We start from the raw sequence: 19,870 nt of genomic DNA, 5'->3' as shown, positions 1-19,870 counted from the left end.
GACCTTGTTCTGGAAACCTGAACAGCCATTGTCAATTCCCTTCCTCTTGCCTGTTCCTGAGGCAATGGACTTTCAAGCCTTCCTCACCTCTGGGGAAATAGATCTCAGGTCCAGCCAACAACTGACAAGCACTTGGCCAGGTTACTACTAAAAGAGTATCTGCTGGATAAACAGAGAAAGGCTCCCTGAGGGGAGTTTTCTCTCTCTCTCACTCTCTCCCCCCACCCCCAACACTCTTCTCATGCCCTGTGGCCTCCTGCTGCTCCTTCTTACTCCTCACCTTTCAGGCTGTGGTGTGAGACAGGATGTCTAGGGCTATGGTGTCCACCTTTCACTCATGAGCCATGTGCCCAAGAACAAAAGCCCAAGGAACAATGGAGAAGATGGAAGGAAAACACCTGGGCCCCTGCTGACGACGCTGCACCGACTCTGTGAACACCACCCACGGCCTTTGGTAAATAACCAGTGTCATCATGGGAGAGGCAGCCAGTGTTTCTCAGGACTCCAGCTATCTGCAGCCAGGACTCTCCTAGGAGCAATGGAGCTGACACATTACTTAGTGTCAGTCCCAGAGCCAGGGAGGCAAATGAAGCTTACTGTGTGACAAGAACATAATTAAGCTGAAAATTACATGACCTGACACCTTATCCTCAACCTACCTCCTACTAATTTACTTACGAGTATAAGGGGTTTCTGGTACCTGCCCAACCTTCCTCATCAGGTGGATCAAAGAAAATTATATGTGAAAATATTTCACCAAGTCCAATACAGATGGACACTTTGGATTTCATTTCACTAGGGATAAAGAGGCAAAAAAAAAAAAAAACCCAGCTGAGTAAGAGATTTTTGGTAACAAGTAACTTTACAGATGAAGCATTGGTTTTCTTCAGCGGGTCTCATGGGTGTGAGAACATTTGGATCATCTGTTGAAGGGAGATATCCAATCTCCTAAACAAAAATGTTCCATACTTTCACAGACCTAACACCCACTGTAGTTTAAAAGGCAGGATATTTGTGGTGTGGGCCCTGACTCCACCATCTCTTGGTTAGGGTTCCTGGAAATAGACTCAGATGGAGATTCACAGGCAAGAGGCTCACTGAGGCATGTGCTGGGGAGGCAGGGATGTGGGTCAGGGCAAAGGGAGAAGTCAGGCTGGGGTGCAGCTCAGCAGAGGCCACAGCAAGGCCCATGGAGAGCTCTGCAACGGGGATGGCCTCAGAGTGGTGGCCTATTGGGGCAAAAGAATCAGGCCTTTGTATCCCCATAGAAGCCATTTATCTGAAATAGGAAATTCCAGGAAGGGCATGAATTTGGACAAAGCAGCTTCTTTTGACTCAGATCAATGCCCACAGAGGGACTCAGCTGTGAGCCCTCAGTGGCCACACTCCCAGCAGCTGAGAGAATGAAGTCTCACTGGTAAAGGAGAAACTGCGGGGGGAGCCCCACTGAGAGAGCAAGGGATGTAATCTCTAGGAGACTCAGTTAATTTATCTGTACAATGGGAAAAATTATTACCATTACTGCACATTGTAACTTAAGAAATAAATGAAAGAGTATATTTGAAAAGTGACACTGAGCCCTGCATTATGTTATGTAATTATTGGTTAGTAAGACATGCATACAGCAAAGGAGGAAAGATGGGTGACACCTGACAGCATTTCACATGCCCCCATGTGAAGCACAAATTGTTACTCGGCCAGTGCCTCTTAACCAACTCTTAGGTGCCTTGTGTGATGCTGAGTCCTGGGAATAAAAAGACACATAAGACATTACCTCCTGCAAATGCAAAGAGGTATATTACTGAGTTAGCTAAAAGTATGGGAAATGAAAAGATGAGATTACTCTTATTTGTAGAAGATTTCTTCATGTGTCTAGAAAGCTCAGAAGAATCAACTTAAATGTTATGAAAATCAGTATCGGTATTTGGCAACATGGCTGAATCCCTGGCAAAAATTCAAGCATCAGTAGTTTTCCTAGAAGCTAGCAAAAACTAATTGGAATGTGTGAAGAACAAAATCTCACCTCTAGAGGCAAGAAAATGGACAGAAATATTTTTAAAGAAAAAGGTACTGTTGTAACCAAGCGAGTTATAGAGAAATGCCACACTTTGAGACTAATTCAGGAGTCCTTTATTAGCCAGCGACCGAGAGACGGCTAGCACTCAAAATTTTCTCGGCCCCGAAAAAGGGGCTAGATTTTCTTTTATACTTTGGTTTAGAGAGGGGAGGGGGAGCCTAGCTGTAGCAATCTTACAGAAGTAAAACAGGCAAAAAAGTTAAAAAGACAAATGGTTACTGGAAAACAAACAGTTCCAGGTGCAGGGGCTTTAAATTCATCACAAGGTGATAGATGTGAGGGCTTTTGGGTGCTATCTATGCGACACAAACGTGGGGGTACTATCACCTGGGTGAATTCTTGGGAACTGTGGACATAGCTTGCCACAGTACCTTCTCAGTTAATTGCACTCTTTGATGTGCTGGGAGTCAGCTTGCACAACTTAAGTCCTTGAGGAAGGGGGTGGGTAAGGAGCCCTTGATGTCTTGCAAATGAAGGAGCCAAATGGAGTCCATCCGGCTTTCTCAGCTAAGGGAGAGTCTATTCATATTAAAACAAGGTAAGGTATCACAGTACTTTGCAAAATACTGTTCATAATATTCATAACAATGTTATTCGCTATAGCCGAAAGGTAGAAGCAACTCAGATATCCATTGATAAATAAATGGATAAAGAAACTATTATATACCCATACAAGGAAATATTCTTCCATCTTAAAAAGAAAGGAAATTATGACGCATGCCACGATATGAATGAACCTTGAGGAAATAATGCAAAGGAACATAAATCAGACAAGAAAAGGACAAATACCATGTAATCCAACTTATATGAGCTACTTACACTGGCCACATTCACAGAGACTTAGAATAGAATGGTGGTAAGGAAGGCTTAAGGGATAGGGGAAATGGGTAGTTGATGTTTAATGGGTACAAAGTTTCATCTGAGAGGATAAAAAATTCTTTCATTGAAGAATGGGGATGTCCGCACACCAATGTGATGTATTTAATGATGCAAAACTCTATACTTAAATACAGTGCAAATGACAATTTTCATGTTATCTGTATTTTATCATAATAAAATATTTTTAAAGATATGAGCAAGTTCTTAGTGAAAAGTAAGAAAAATTTACTGAGAAGAGAGATAAAATATGACTAGAGCTTATTTTTTTGTATGGGAAGAACAAATAAGGTAAAGATGGTAATTTTTTTCAAATGAATCTATAGTTAATTGTGTTCCATTCAAAATACATGACAATAATTTTGAAGATACTAAAAGTCTTGTGGAAAAATAAACTGAAATAACTAAAAATATTTGGAAAATTACTCATGATGCCTTATATTAAAATATATTATAGAATTAAAAGAATGTGATGATGATGCAAAATAAACACTGTACACAAATCTGTTGCTTATTCTCTGTTGTGGCCGTCAGTTCATAGCCTACTTCGAGAAGCACCACGTGCTGGGTGCTCACATGGTGCTGGGTGCTGGGGAGGCTGCAGACAGCAACAACCCCAGGGATGGGCAGCTATCATGCCAGGCACCACCAAGTAAGAGCCCGCCCCAGCCTAGGCGGATGGAGGTCCGAAGGAGGGGGGCTTCCTGTGAGTGAAGGCACCTGTGCTGAGACTGTGGACTAGGACTGAGAATGAGGAAGCGGCTCAAAGCAAGCATTTCAGAACGAGGGCTAGAAAGGAGGCGGGGAGGGAACAGTCTGGCAGGGATCTGCAGGGTTCCCTTGTGGAGGGTCTCTGTGTGGGAAGTGCAGGCTGGTGGGGGCAGTGCCTTGTGCCCAGCAGGGCCTTTGAGCCACACTAGTGAGATTGAGGGTGGTTGCCCTATAGCAGAGAGGGCTCTCTTAAGCAGAGAGCAAAATATTGAAAGGGGTGTGCGAGAGACAGCATTCAGAGCACTGGGGGAGATGCAACAGAGAAGGTCATGTGTTATTCTGTCAATTGTGACAACATAGATAAACCTGGAGGACATTATGTTAAGCCAGACAGAGAAAGACAAACATTACATCATCTCATTTATATGTGGGATCTAAAATGCCAAACTTATAGAAGCCATGAGTAGAATGGTGAAGACCAGGGAATGGAGCAGGGGGAACGTTGAGGAGATGTTGGCCAACACATCTGTATCTCTTGATATAGAAGAACATTATACTATATTAGAAAGAAAAAAGATAAGGAATAATCTATGTGGCATTATCCTGATATATAAAGAGAGAGAGAGAGATTAGAAAATGTTAACAATGGTTATTTCTGGATATAACGGGGGAAAAAATAACTGACAGCCTCAAAGGCAAGGCTGTGGAGCAAGAGGAACTATTGTACTTTGGCAAGAATGTAAGATGGTACAATCACTTTAGAAATGTTTGTTATAAACTGAAGTATATGCTAACCCCATTGATTTTTGTGTGAATGCAAGAGCATTTGTTATACCTTTTCTGATTATTAAAAATTGAAACCAACAGTTTTAAAGGGAGCCAAGACTCAGGGTGTGTCAGGACAGAGAAGTGGGAACTGTGGAAACACAGGGCTATTGAGCACAGTGGCTGGGAAAGGGCATGGGGTCTGAGAGCCGCAAGAGACTTTTGGAATCTGAATTTGCCAACTGAGTGTGAGAACTACTTGACAGAGCTTCCATCCTGGGTGCCTGGCTGCTGGTGAGCTTAGCACGTGAGATAGTGAGTTCATTTGTGGAGGTTTTGAAGTTGATTTAAGCTTCCCAAAGAGCTGGAAATACAGATGTGAAGTTAGAAGAAGTTGGGTCATATTTATGTATAATATATAATATATATTATATATAACTATGTATTATGTATGTTTATATAATATATAAAATATTTTATACATACACATAAAGATACCTTTAAAAGACAGGAAAGCAAAATGCAAAAGACTCTGAGTTGTGCGGAAGAAAGAATAAAATTTAGGTGTACAAACAAGAAAATGTAGAAGAAATGGGCTGGGTGCAGTGGCTCACGCCTATAATCCCAGCACTTTAGCAGGCTGAGGCGGGCAGATCATTTGAGGTCAGGAGTTCCAGACCAGCCTGGCCAACATGGAGAAACCCCGTCTCTACTAAAAATACAAAAATTAGCTAGGCATGGTAGTGCATGCCTGTAATCCCAGCTACTTGGGAGGCTGAGTCAGGAGAATCATTTGGACCTGGGAGACGGAGGTTGCAGTGAGCTGAGATTGTGCCAGTACACTCCAGCCTGGGTGACAGAGTGAGACTTTGTCCCAAAAGAAAAAAAAAAAAAAAAAGAAAATGGAGAAAAAATGGATAAATTCCTGGAAATATACATCCTTCCAGGATTGAACCAAAAAGAAATAGAAATCCTGAACTGACCAATAATGAGTAGTAAAATTGAATAAGTAATAAAAAAAATTCTGAAGAAAATAAAGCCCAGAACCAAACAGGTTCACTGGCGAATTCTATGAGACGTACAACAAGGAAGTGATAGTGATTTTACTGAAATCTTTCCAAAAAATCAAAAAGAAGGGAATCATCCCTAACACCCTACAAAGCCAGCATCACCGTGACACCAGAGCCAGGCAAGGACACAACAAAAATAGAAAACTACAGACCAATATCCCTGATGAACATAGATGCAAAATTCCTCAACTAAATAATAGCACACTGGTCCAGCAGCACATCAAAAAGATAATACACTACAATCAAGTGGATTTGATTCAAGGGATGCAAGATTGTTTTAACATATGTAAGTCACTAAATATGATTCACCACATAAACAGACTTTAAAATTAAAATCATATGATCATATCAATAGATACATAAAAAGTATTTGACAAAATACAGCATCTCTTCATGATAATTCTTACCAAACTAAGCATACAAGGTACATAGCTAAAAATAATAAAGGCCATATGTGACAAACCCACAGCCAACATCATACTGATTGGGTAAAACTTGAAAGCGTTTCACCTAGGAACTGGAAGAGGACAAGGATGCCCACTGTCCACTCCTATTTAACAGAGTACCGGAAGTCCTAGCAACAGCAATCACGTAGAAAAAAGAAATGAAGAGCATCCAAATTGTAAAAGAGAAAGTCTAACTTTCTCTGTTTGCCAATAATATGGTCTTATACCTAGAAACCCTTAAAGACTACTCCAAAAGACTCCTAGATTTCATAAATGACTTTACTAAAGTTTCAGGATTCAAAATCAAGGTATATAAATCAGTACTTCTATACACCAATGATAATGAAGCTTAGAGCCAAATTAAGAACTCGAGGCCATACATAATAGCTACAAAAAATAAAATACCAAAATCATTTAATCAAGGAGGTAAAAGATCTCTCCAAGGAGAACTACAAAACACTGATGAAAAAAATAGATGACTCAAACAAATGAAAAAACATCCCTTGCTCATAGATTTGAATAATCAATATTGTTAAAATGACCATACTGACAAAAGCTTTCTAGAGATTCAGTGCACTTCCTATCAAATTATCAATATCATTCTTCATAGAATTAGAAAAAAAATCCTAAAATTCAATCCTAAAATCCTAAAACCAAACCAATCTTAAACAAAAATAATAGAATTGGAGGTATCACATTATACTACAAGGCTATAGTAAGCAAGACAGCAGGGGCCTGATATAAAAAACGACACATAGATTAATGGAACAAAATAGACACCTAGAAATAAAGAAAGATACCTCAATCAACTTGTCTTTGACAAAGTTAAGAAATCATACACTGGGGAAAGATACCCTATTCAATAAATGGTGCTGGGGCAATTGGAGAGCCACATGCAGACACATGAAACTGGACCCTTGTCTCTCACCATATACAAAAATTAACTCAAGGTGATTAAAGACTTAAATGCAAGAACTGAAACAATAATATCACAGAAGAAAACCTAAGAGAAACTCTTCTGGATATTGATCTAGGCAAAGAATTTATGACTAAGTCCTCAAAATGAAGCCCAACATCAACTACCTTAGACAAATGGGACTTAATTAAACTGAAAAGCTTCTGCACAGCAAAAGAAATAATCAACAGAGTCAACAGATAACCTACAGAATGAAAGAAAATATTTGCAGTGTATCTGATAAAAGACTAATATTGAGAATCCACTAGGAACTCAAATAACTCAATTAAAAATAATCCCATTAAAAAGTGGGCATGGTGCCAGGCGTGGTGGCTCATGCCCATAATTCCAACACTTTGGGAGGCTGAGACGGGCGGATCACGAGGTCAAGAGTTTGAGACCAGCCTGACCAAAATGGTGAAACTCCGTCTCTACTAAAAAAAAATACAAAAATTACCTGGGCCTCGTATCCCGTGCCTGTAATCCCAGCTACTCAGGAGGCTGAGGCAGGAGAATCACTTGAACCCAGGAGGCGGAGGTTGCAGTGAGCCAAGATCATGCCATTGCACTCCAGCATGGGCAACAGAGAGAGACTCCATCTCAAAAAAAGTGGACATAGAATAGCACCTAGGAATACAACTTACAAGGGATGCAAAGGACCTCTTCAAGAAGAACTGCAAACCGCTGCTCAAGGAAATACGGCAGGACACAAACAAATGGAAAAAAATTCATGCTCATGAATAGGAAGAATCAATATCATGAAAATGGCCATATTGCCCAAAGTAATTTATTGATTCAATGCTATTCCCATCAAGCTATCATTGATTTTCTCTGCAGAATTAGAAAAAAAACTACTTTAAATTTCATATGAAACCAAAAAAAGATCCCATATAGCCAAGCCAATACTAAGCAAAAAGAACAAAGCTGCAGACATCAGGCTACCTGACTTCAAACTATACTACAAGGCTACAGTAACCAAAACAGCATGGTACTGGTACCAAAACAGAGATATAGACCAATGGAACAGAACAGAGGCCTCAGAAGTAACATCACACATCTGCAACCATCTGATCTTTGACAAATCTGACAAAAACAAGCAATGGGAAAGGATTCTCTAGTTAATAAATGGTGCTGGGAAAACTGGCAAGCCTTATGCAGAAAACAGAAACTGGGCCCCTTCCTTATATCTTATACAAAAATTAACTCAAAATGGATTAAAGACTTAAATGTAAAACCTATAACCATAAAAACCCTAGAAGAAAACCTAGGCAATACCATTGAGGACATAGGCATGGGCAAAAACTTCATGACTAAAACACCAAAAGCAATTGCAACAAAAGTCAAAATTGACAAATGGGATCTAATTAAACTAAAGAGCTTCTGCACACCAAAAGAAACTATCATTGGAGTGAACAGGCAATCTAGAGAAAGGGAGAAAATTTTTGGAATCTATCCATCTGACAAAGGGTTAATATCCAGAATCTTCAAGGAACTACAAGGAACTGCAATATAAAAACAACCCCAGCAAAAAGTGGGCAAAGGATATGAAGAGACATGTGTCAAGACATTTATGCAACCAATAAACACATGAAAAAAAGCTCACCATCATTGGTCATTAGAGAAATGCAAATCAAAACCACAATGAGATACCATCTCATGCCAATTAGAATGGCAATCATTAATAAGTCAGGAAACAACAGATGCTGGCGAGGCTGTGGAGAAATAGGAAGGCTTTTACACTGTTGGTGGGAGTGTACATTAATTCAACCATTGTGGAAGACAGTATGGTGATTCCTCAAGGATCTAAAACCAGAAATACCATTTGACCCAGCAATCCCATTACTGGGTATATATCCAAGTGATTATAAACTATTCTACTATAAAGACACATGCACACATATGTTTATTGCAACACTATTTACAATAGCAAATAATTGGAACCCAAATGCCCATCAGTGATAGACTGGATAAAGAAAATGTGGCACATACACTATGCAGCCATAAAAGAGAATGTGTTCATGTCCTTTGCAGGGACATAGATGAAGCTGGAAACCATCATTCTCAGCAAACTAACACAGGAACAGAAAAACAAACACCACATGTTCTCACTCATAAGTGGGAGTTGAACAATGAGAACACGTGGACACAGGGAGGGGAACATCACACATCGGGGCCTGCCAGAGGGTGGGGGACAAGGGGAGGGAGAGCATTAAGACAAATACTGAATGCATGTGGGGCTTAAAACCTAGATGACAGGTTGATAGGTGCAGCAAACCACCATGGCACATGTACACCTATGTAACAAACCTGCACATCCTACACATATATTCCAGAACTTAAAGTAAAATTTTTTAAAAAGTGGGCATAGGACATGAACAGATATTTTTCAAAAGAAGACATACAAGTGGCAAACAAACATGAAAAAAATGCTCAACATCACTAAATATCTGAGAAATGCAAATTGAAACCACAATGAAATATCATTGTACACCAGGGAGAAAGGGTGTTATTAAATGTCAAAAGACAGCAGAGTGCAGTGGTTCATGTCTATAATCACTGTGGGGAAAAGCAAGAGAGATCAGATTGTCACTGTGTCTGTGTAGAAAGAAGTAGACATGGGAGACTCCATTTTGTTATGTACTAAGAAAAACTCTTCTGCCTTGAGATTCCGTGACCTTACCCCCAACCCCGTGCTCTCTGAAACATGTGCTGTGTCAAACTCAGGGTTAAATGGATTAAGGGCGGTGCAAGATATGCTTTGTTAAACAGATGCTTGAAGGCAGCACGCTCCTTAAGAGTCATCACCACTCCCTAATCTCAAGTACCCAGGGACACAAAAACTGCGGAAGGCCACAGGGACCTCTGCCTAGGAAAGCCAGGTATTGTCCAAGGTTTCTCCCCATATGATAGTCTGAAATATGGCGTCGTGGGAAGGGAAAGACCTGACCGTCCCCCAGCCCGACACCCGTAAAGGGTCTGTGCTGAGGAGGATTAGTATAAGAGGAAGGCATGCCTCTTGCAGTTGAGACAAGAGGAAGGCATCTGTCTCCTGCCCGTCCCTGGGCAATGGAATGTCTCAGTATAAAACCCGATTGTACATTCCATCTACTGAGATAGGGAAAAACCGCCTTAGGGCTGGAGGTGGGACATGCCGGCAGCGATACTGCTTTGTAAAGCATTGAGATGTTTATGTGTATGCATATCTAAAAGCACAGCACTTAATCCTTTACCTTGTCTATGATGCAAAGACCTTTGTTCACATGTTTGTCTGCTGACCCACTCCCCACTATAGTCTTGAGACCCTGACACATCCCCCTCTCGGAGAAACACCCACGAATGATCAATAAATACTAAGGGAACTCAGAGGCTGGAGGGATCCTCCATATGCTGAACGCTGGTTCCCCGGGTCCCCTTATTTCTTTCTCTATACTTTGTCTCTGTGTCTTTTTCTTTTCCAAGTCTCTCGTTCCACCTTGCGAGAAACACCCACAGGTGTGGGGGGGGGGTAACCCACCCCTTCAAATCACAGCACTTTGACAGGCCAAAATGGGAGGATTGCTTGGGGCCAGGAGTTCAAGACCAACCTGGACAAAATAGTGAAACCCTGTCTCTACAAAAAATAAAAATGTCTTGCCATGGGCCTGTAGTCCTAGCTACTCAGGAGGCTGAGGCAAGTGGATCATTTGAGCCCAGGAATTTGAGGTTATAGTTAGGTATGATCATGTCACTGCCTTTCAGCCTGGGTAAGAGTGTGAGACCCTGTCTCAAAAGAAAGTCAAAAAACAATAGACATTGGAGAAGATGTGGGGAAAAGAAAAAAATTATGCACTGTTGGTGGAAGTGTACGTTAGTACAACCTCTATAGAAAACGGTATGATGATTTCTCAAACAACTAACACTAGAACTGCCCTGTGATCCAGCAATTCCACTACTGGATAGGTACCCCCCTAAAAAGAAATCATTATGTAAAAATGACACCTGCACTTGTATGTTTCTTGCAGCACTTTTCACAATAGCAAAGCCATGGTATCAATGGACAGATGGACAGGTGGATAAAACAAGGTGGTGTGTGTGTGTGTGTGTGTGTGTGTGTGAATACTACTCCATATATATATATCTATATATACACACACACACCCACACACACATATATGTCCAATACTACTCCATATATATATATATATATATACACATACACACACACACATATATGTCCAATACTACTCCATATATATATATCCATATGTGCGTATATATATACATATGTATATATATATCTCCAATACTACTCCATATATATATATAAATATATATATATACACACACACACATATATATATATATACACACCATGGAATACCACTCAGCCACAAAAATGAATGAAATTATGTTTTTTTTTTGCAGCAACATATATGGAGCTGGGGGCCATTACCCTTATTGAAGTGACTCAAACTGAAAATCAAAAACTACATGCTCTCACTTGTAAGTGGGAGCTAAACAATGGGTACTCACAGACATGCAGAGTGGAATGATAGACAGTGGAGGCTCAAAGGTGGGAGAGTGGGATGGTGGTGAATGTGAAATATCACCTAGTGGATATAATGTACATTATCTGGTAATGGGTACCCTAAAAGCCCAGATTTCACCTCTATGCAATATATCCACATAATGCAACTACATCTGTACCCCAAAATCCATAAAAATAAATAAATCCCCCAGGTTACACATATACAATTAGGCATCTTATTGTATGTAAATGCTACCTCATTCAAGGCAATTTTTAAAAATCAGGTGAGTTTTCCAAGTAGTGCACAGAGGACCAGCGCCGGCAGCATGGCTCCCTGAGGGGAGGAACAAGAGATACCCGTGGGCTCCCACATTCATCCCGCGGCTGCTGCTCCATTTCCTGACACCCCCACCACCTGCCAGGAGTCTCCCTGCACCTCCCACCGGGCCCCACCGGCAGTTACCCTGAGACTCCAGGTCATTCCCTTCCCTGCTCACACCCGCCCCAGGAGCTTCCTCTTCTTGGAGCAGGCATGCTCAGCCCCGCCTCAGGGCCTTTGCACTGGCTGTTCCCGCTGCCTGGAGCTCTGCTTCCTGTCTAGACAGGGCTTCTCACCTTTCCAGTCTCCCTGACCAGGGTCCAGTGGCTCCATCTGTCTCTACCTAATACTCTTTCACTTCCAACAGAGAGACTAATTTCCTGATATTAATTATTGATTATCGCTTTCTTATCCTCCATACCCTAAGGAGCAGAACCACTGCCACCAGCCACATGTGGCCATGGGTCACTGAAAATGAGGCCAGTCCAAAATGACATTCGGTCTAAGTGTAAAAAAAAAAAAAAAAAAAACAGGGAATTTCAAAGACTTACACACATTCAAAAGAATGTAAACTATCTCATTAACAACTGTTCCCATGGATTGAAATAATATTTTGGATATATTAGGTTAAACAAGAAATACTATTAAAATCACTCCCTCTGTTTCTTTTTCCTTTTTTAACGTGTCTATTATAAAACTGAAAAGTGCTCATGGGTTTGTGTCACATCTCTGTCCATGGCTCGGTCATCCGTGCTCCATCTCCAGGTCCTAGACCACGTGGTACCCGGAGGAGCTGATGAAGAGTTTGTGTATTGAATAATGAGGACTTATGGAAAAATAACCTAATGACCTTTCGCAAAACATTAATTCTCTTATGTCTGGCAAAGAAATTCCCCAGAGCAGGATGTGGAATAAGCCTTCCAGGAGCTCCTGAAATCATCTCTCTGTTTCATGGATTGCCAGACCGTGACCAAGCTTTCACTGATGCCTCTGAACACTGAAGATCCCAGGAGCGCCCTGGACTTTTCCCTTTTCTGAGGAAACAGGAGGTCATTATACTTTCACAGCCCAGGGAGCAGTGTGCCCTCTCTGCAGACAATTGTGAGCCAGCTTGGGAGCAATGGGGAGGAGGGGCAGGGCTGGAAAAGGGGTGGGAGTGAGGAGAGTAGTGAGGAGGAGGGGGAGACGGAGGAGCAGACTGGGGGATGGAGGGGCAGGGGGATCTTAGGCAGAGATGGAGGTTATGGGCGGGGCAGAGTTAGACCTCAGCCAGATGAGGACAGCAGTCACCCAGCAGAGTGGAGGAGGGGGTCAGATTGGGGGGTGGGGCGGGGGGGTAGCTTCAGCAGGGCTACCAGGCTCAGCTTGACGTGCATCCCGTGGCAGAGCAGCGAACAGTGACACAGACTTTAGAGCTCCCCCACTTTCTCTTAGAAATTCATTGGTGTCCAGACCAGCCTCTTTTCTCCTCCTGCAGCCATCAGCTGGTGCTCTCTGCCTGCACATGAGGTGCATTCTCTGGTGCCACAGTTCCTCCTGGCCTGCACGTCTCTCTGAAGTCTGACAGTAACTCAGAGTGAAGCAGTGGATGATGTGAATTATTGGGCCCAGGATCCTAATTTACAGATGGGGAGACTGATGCCCTAGAGAACACACAACTTCCTCTTGGTTCTGCAGCCTGGTTCCCAGGGCTCCTTCTCCTGTGCTTCTCCCCAGTTCTGACAAGTTGCGTCTCGAGGATGCCCTGTGCAGGGAAAGCATTCAATTCTCTTCTGCAATAGCAAGTTGAAGACGTGTGGGTGTGTGACCCTAGAAATACTGGAGCCAAAAATCCACTCAGAATGGAGGCATTAGAGAGGAAGTCTCCTTTTGGCCTAAAACATCCACTCAGAATGGCGGCATTAGAGAGGAAGTCTCCTATTGGCCTAAAACATCCACTCAGAATGAAGGCATTAGATAGGACGTCTCCTATTGGCCTAAAACAACCACTCAGAATGGAGGCACTAGAGAGGAAGTCTCTTGTTGGCCTAAAACATCCATTTGTGTGAAGCTTCTCATCTCCTACTGCTAAATGAGGGAATAAACAAATCTGAGTTAAATGGAGGAAATAAGATGCTCAATGGGCTGAAGTCTAGAAACTGGAAGTTAGCTGAAATTTCATCATCAGATGACAGCCTTCCTAGAAGAAATACAGGGTCCCTGCCCCTTGGGCCAGCAGAATTCAGTTAATCCTTTGCACTGGCACAGAGAAAACAAGTTACCAGGGAGGCCTGGGGCATATCACCCCTGCCATCCGGCAGGAGGTGACTGTGTGCCTTGCAGGTGGCAGTGTGGGCAGCTCATGAAGGCAGGAATGAAGCCCCAGGCAACTCCCGTGACTCAGTCATAGTGAAGTGCCTGTGTGTGCATGAAACTGATGGAGAGCACTGTCCGTGCATCCTGCTCTTTCACGTGAGTAGGTCGTGGCTGCAATGAACTACTTCTTTGATGTGGAGATGGGGCAAATCACATGTGCCAAGTCCCAGCCCAACTTGGACAACTGTTCCTTCCATCACCAGCGAAAACTTCAGGAGGTATGTGCCTGATGTGGGTCAGGGGACAGTTGCACACTGCAGAGGTGTGTGTGTGTGTGTGTGTGTGTGCTCCTTCACATGTTTTGAAGGGTATATGTGTAAGCGCATCGGTATGCCTAGAGCAGGGCATGCAGGCATGGGTACATGTATGTGGAGAGATGCATGTGTGTTTGTGCACACACGGGCAGATGTGTATTGGGAGGGACATGGAAGTGTGTGCATATGAAGTTATATGTTTGTGCATGTACATGTGAGTAGGTGTGCAGGTGTGGTTTTGCTCATGGAAAGGTGTATGTGTACACGTGCAAGTGTGTGTGGGGTGCACGGGAGTGTGTGTGTGCATGTGGCTGTGTGGGGGAAGTATGGAGGTTTTTGCATAGATCCATGTAGATGAGGGTTGGGGTGAGTTCATGTAAATGCCTATGTGTGTGCATGTAGGTGAGGTGCTGTGGAGAGGGGTGATGAATTTGATTTGCTAAGAGGGCTTCAGCTTGGGAATAGGGGTACTGGGAGCTCCACCCTGTGTACTTTGGGTTGTTGCCTGCTGAACTATAGGAAACAGCTGCAGGGCTGGGTGCTGGACAGGAAGATGGGGCTCTGCTGTGCAAAAAAGCCTCCTGATGCCTTCTCTGCCTGTCTCCTGGTGCAGGCCTGCAGAGGAGACCTCCCCCAGGGCAGGAACCACCAATTCAAGGGTGGTCCCCTCCTCCCAGCCTCAGGCACATGCCCACAGCTATAGCCATGCTAAGCAGATTAGGGGGACCTAGATGCCTGTTAGCTGAAAAGCCCTGGACCTGCCCCACTCACCAAACACAAGCCTCTCCAAGGACCTGCTGGTTCCTATGAGGTCTCCACTCAGGGAAGAGCCTCACTCCCCTTGTCGCCGCCTCCCCATGCCCCAGCTCTTTGAGGGGGAATTGCCCTGCCCTGGGTTCTTCCCTCTGACCCTTCTTAGTGCCAGCCTGGACACAGGAGTTGGAAGGAGCTGGGGGCAGTGAGCTGCCTCCCCCTGTCCTGCACTCTTGGGGCTCCCGAGACCTTGCACAGGCTGCTCCTCACAGGGCTGTGCTGGGGCAGGAACCCTGCAGGCTGGAAATGGGGGCAATGCCACCTGGTGACCTGGAGCCTTCCATCCCCACCTGAGAGGGGGAATGGAGTCATCTCTGCACAGTTTGGTTCAGTGCTCTGGGTCTCAGCAGGAGCAGGTAGGGGGCACAGTGTCTCACCTCTATCCATGCTTGCCCCCACTCTGATGTCTCATGCCTGGGCATCTACCGCTTTAGTGCAACCCACACTGATTGTCCCTCTCTCTTTCCTTTCACAGAAACAGTTCTGCTCTTTCCAGATCTGTGAAGTTCCTTGGGATGACAGAATATCTTTGGTGAAATCCACATGTCAGAATGTCTAGGAGTTTGTACCAGGCCAACTGCACCAACCACCTCCTACTCCCACACCACTATACTGCTCTCACCCTTGAACTGGTGGCTCCTGCCCTGGGGGAGGTCTCTTCTGAGGGCCTGCACCAGGAGACGGGGAGAGTGGAGAGCATCTACATCCATTTCATCTCCACTTGGACTTGATTTTACAGAGGTCTTTGGGATCTGGGAAGTGCAGCATCACCCAGGAGGCCATGACCTGGGGGACTTGAGTCTGGGCCTCATCCTCTTGGGGGTGGGCAGGTGTAGTCACTCAGGCTTCTGCTGGGAGAGAGGGGTTGCATGCAGAGTAGGAGGTGCTCAGAGTGGTGACTGGGGCGAAGACATCACCGCAGGAAGTTGCTCATGATTTTCTACCTGAATGGAAGATCTCCTTTGGCACAAGCAAGCACCATCAAGACACACAATGAAGAGAGGATTTTGTGTAAATTAAGCCACTTATCAGATACAATTCTCTCTCCCTTGAGAAAGTTGGGAGTAAAGAAGAGGCTGTATACTGGGATCCCCCCAACTTCTCCCTGTGTGTCTGCTCTTTTGGAGAGAAGAAGTGGATAGGGATGCTGAGGGTGAGCAGGTATATCTTCTGAGCCAAATGAATTGTCTGAACTGTGTCCTGAAGCCACTAGGTCTTTGTAGGAGAGTAAGACAGGGTTTCACCGCACCGATCTGCGCCTACAAATATCAAAAATTACAAAATTGAAAATCACTCAATTCCCATTTTGGAAATTTTATGCCTTTTCTAAGACTTTCTTTACCAAAAATAATGTCACAAATCAGTGGTAAAAGATTGAAAATGAAGAGGTTAGAAAACCCTCATCCAGCATGGAGAAATCGCTCTGGATGGAGGGGTGAGTGCATTTGGAGGCCTGGGAAGCACAAGACAGCACAGTCTTTCCTTGGGCAGGTGGACACTTGCCATAACAAGGACAGGAGGACCAAGTTGTGCAAGGCCTGAGGAGCATACATAGGGGCTCTCTGTGAAAAAAAAAAAAAAATAGCACAATGTTAGCACTACAAAACTAAGAACAAAAATTAATGTTTATTTAGGAAGAGAAAATAAATCATGGAAATTGTATGCATGAAAATGCTGAAAAATACTGTGAACATCACAAAATCTGGACAAATAACACATATCCTCTTGCAATCAGTCACCAACACCGATTCTGTGGTCAACAGACTCAGGTCTATGGGCTTGTGGAAATAAGGGAATAAATTCACACCAAGAAACTGGGATGATTCAAAAAAGAAAAGAGGTTATTATAGGAGCAGGGGAAAGGATTTTGAGGTGATATCGATGCACTCAGGGCATGGCAGGCCTCTGTGTAAAGCAGCCAGTGTCAAGCCTGGTCTGCAAAGTGGACCTAGGTTCTGTGTCCTTAGAACCCATAAAGTCCAGCCAGATGTGGAATGTCCTGTCCATAAACCCCTTCTCTGTAGCTCTGTGCTTCTGTGGAAAGGTGGATATAGATCCTCCAGGCAGTAGAATGTTCTTCTTACTGATAAGCAAAGTTTCTGACAGCCCCTGACTCTAGAGAATGAGGTCTTCCATTGAGTCAGAAAGCAGTCTTGTGTTGACCTCCTATCTCACCCTGTGACTTAGAATGCCTTAACCATCTGGGAATGCAGCACAGTAGGTCTCAGCCTCATTGTACCCAGCCCCTACTCCAGATGGAGTTGCTCTGGTTCAATCACCTCTGACATGAGCAGGTGGATGGGGTGGTGGGGGACAAATGTGATGAATTTGATTTGCTAAGAGGGATTTAACTTGGCATGGGGGTACTGGGAGCTCCACCCTGCATCCTTTGGGATGTTGCCTGCTGGACTGGAGGAAGCAGCTGCAGGGCTGGGTGCTGGGCAGGGAGAAGGGGCTCAGTCTAATCCCAACCTCAGGCACCTGCCCAGAGTCAGAAAGCAGTCATCAGCCAGCAAGAGGCTGCTTGACATTTCAAAGCTGCAGCTTGAGAGAAACATTCTGTCCTGCTCATGTTGCCACTGGCTTTGTTAACATCAGTCCATCTATCCACTCTGCAGACGAAAGGGCAGATTTGCCCTTCTTAATCCACATGATTTTTACTTCCTCACATGATATTTTTATTAATTAGCTACTGACACATCTCATAATTTCATTCGATGTTTTTATGCTCAAGTAATGAATCGCTATTTGCCTCATTATAAGACATTTAATTTATCATAGGGTTTTGTCTACGTTTAGCAGAAGAATAAAGCAGTCTTTCCACTAAAAGGTTTGATCACTTGTAAAATTGATGGTGCATAACATCTTGATTCAAAACTCATAATTGGCCATATCATGCACATTTTTCTGGTTGTTGTCCAATTTGGAAAAGCCTCTTTCATTTTCCTTTCATCTGCAAGCTCTAAGATTTTAATACCTCTAAATTTCCTTGACTTAAATTTGAAGACCTTAACACATCTTTCTATTGACATTGCACACAAACACAGCATTTTTAAACTGTCACTGTTGTACTGAGCTTCAGAATTGTCTAAAAATGTCCTTATGTGCTATATCTATTAGCTCATTGAATGTGCAGGAGGAGTTTGTCCTGAAGCAAGTATTTCTTCTTCAAGCTGTCTTACTGCTGGTCACGATTTTATATCTGTGTTATGTGGAGCTCCCAGACTTGGTCAGGATAAGAAGAGGTGGGAGGTCAGCCCCATCCATCAGTTCTGTGCCGCTTCACACACATGTGTCCTTACTATGGGTAGTTTCACCACACAGATCTGTGCCCTACAAATGTCAAAAATTGAGAAATTCTATCTCATTCAACTCCCATCAAAAATAAAAACAACTGTATGGTGCACTAATTATTTTATATGCCATAATACTGACTACATTTCCAATAGAATAAAACTTCCTTTTTTGACTAGGGTCAGAAAAAAACAAAACACTCACTTGAAATTTTCCATGTTTCTGCTGGGTATCGTTATCCATAGATGGACTTCTGGCTCCACACATTGCAAACCTTCTTTCCTCTCTGCTAATCACAGGCTTCCAATGTGAGGTGCTGGGGGCATTTTCTGATCAAGGTTCTACCTCTCCTTGCTGCTTTAAGTGAAAACTGAGGGGGTGGTAGGGCCTTGTCTGGGGCCACTCCTACACCAGTACAGTTTGAGGCAACATGACTAAGCACAGGAGTGAGGGAGAATCACAGGAATGTGTTCCCCTCACCCCAGTTAAATGCATCCCAACTCATCTTCCTCTTAGCCAGATACCAAAATGCCTGGGTCCAACCTACACCATCCAGCAGGTGGTGAATGGGAAGAAGAAAGCCAGAGTAGAAAAAGCAAATGTTCTTAACTGACTACAGTGAAAATACCACACATTTTTTATTGTACAAAACATCCAGCCAAGTAAACCTGTTGCTCAGCCCCAGTTGGAGCCTCTTGTGGGGTTTTTGAAAAGCTCTGTACTTAAACGTCATTAGCATCATGGAAGATCGTCTGGATTTTTATGAGAAGACATTAATATTTTTGTAAGAGTGGATAGGCCAAGGGGAAATGGGAAGGAGGTAAATACACCAGCCACAAAAGTAGGAGGAGACATGGAGAAGAAGTGAGGGAAGGAGAAACTCATGCAGAAGAAATCTGCACGGGCATTGGGACCTGCCAAGAGGCTTTCCGCTGCATGTAAAGAAAGGCCTCAATTTAAAATGGCTTGAATACAAAGGGAGTGCTCTACCTTTCATAATAAGAAGGCCCTGGGTAAGACAGGCTTTAGGAACAGAACTCCCAGCATCTAGCTCTGCTTCCCTGGGATTCTCTCATCCTTACCTTTCTGTTCATGATGCTTCAGCCTTCAGCTGGTAGAAAGGTTGTTGCTACAGCTCCAGACATCACATCATCAACACCAACATCCAGAGGCAGAAAGATCCTAGGGAAAAGCTTCTGTTCCACCCGTCCTTCCTGAATGTGAGTAACCTCCTCCTATGCACTCCTTAGCTTACTCCTTCTTATGCCTCTTTGGCCAGGTCTGGATCACAGACCCACCCCCTAAACCAATCACTGTTAAGAATCTATTAATGCATCATTGATAGTGTCACCAACACTCAGTGAAACCTGTGGATGACCATGGCAATATCCTGGTAATAGCACAAATTTTAACATGATCAAAATGATG

The 19,870-nt window shown here is 43.5% G+C and overlaps 4 annotated features.

Moving 5' to 3' along the window:
- Positions 1,503-2,328: an enhancer, noted in NCBI's record as "OCT4-NANOG-H3K27ac-H3K4me1 hESC enhancer chr20:23849325-23850150 (GRCh37/hg19 assembly coordinates)". NCBI's record gives its function as "activates a minimal SCP1, AML or CMV promoter by ChIP-STARR-seq in naive H9 embryonic stem cells {active_cell/tissue: H9 hESC(naive)}" and the evidence as "EXISTENCE:reporter gene assay evidence [ECO:0000049][PMID:30033119]".
- Positions 2,329-3,154: an enhancer, noted in NCBI's record as "OCT4-NANOG-H3K27ac hESC enhancer chr20:23848499-23849324 (GRCh37/hg19 assembly coordinates)". NCBI's record gives its function as "activates a minimal SCP1, AML or CMV promoter by ChIP-STARR-seq in naive H9 embryonic stem cells {active_cell/tissue: H9 hESC(naive)}" and the evidence as "EXISTENCE:reporter gene assay evidence [ECO:0000049][PMID:30033119]".
- Positions 3,703-4,230: an enhancer, noted in NCBI's record as "H3K27ac-H3K4me1 hESC enhancer chr20:23847423-23847950 (GRCh37/hg19 assembly coordinates)". NCBI's record gives its function as "activates a minimal SCP1, AML or CMV promoter by ChIP-STARR-seq in primed H9 embryonic stem cells {active_cell/tissue: H9 hESC(primed)}" and the evidence as "EXISTENCE:reporter gene assay evidence [ECO:0000049][PMID:30033119]".
- Positions 9,385-10,193: an enhancer, noted in NCBI's record as "NANOG-H3K27ac hESC enhancer chr20:23841460-23842268 (GRCh37/hg19 assembly coordinates)". NCBI's record gives its function as "activates a minimal SCP1, AML or CMV promoter by ChIP-STARR-seq in naive and primed H9 embryonic stem cells {active_cell/tissue: H9 hESC(naive and primed)}" and the evidence as "EXISTENCE:reporter gene assay evidence [ECO:0000049][PMID:30033119]".

This window comes from Homo sapiens, chromosome 20 (genome assembly GCF_000001405.40).
Source record: "Homo sapiens chromosome 20, GRCh38.p14 Primary Assembly".
NCBI lineage: Eukaryota > Metazoa > Chordata > Mammalia > Primates > Hominidae > Homo > Homo sapiens.
The sequence above is the reverse complement of the archived record's forward strand: the minus strand, read 5'-3'. Positions and strand labels throughout refer to the sequence as shown.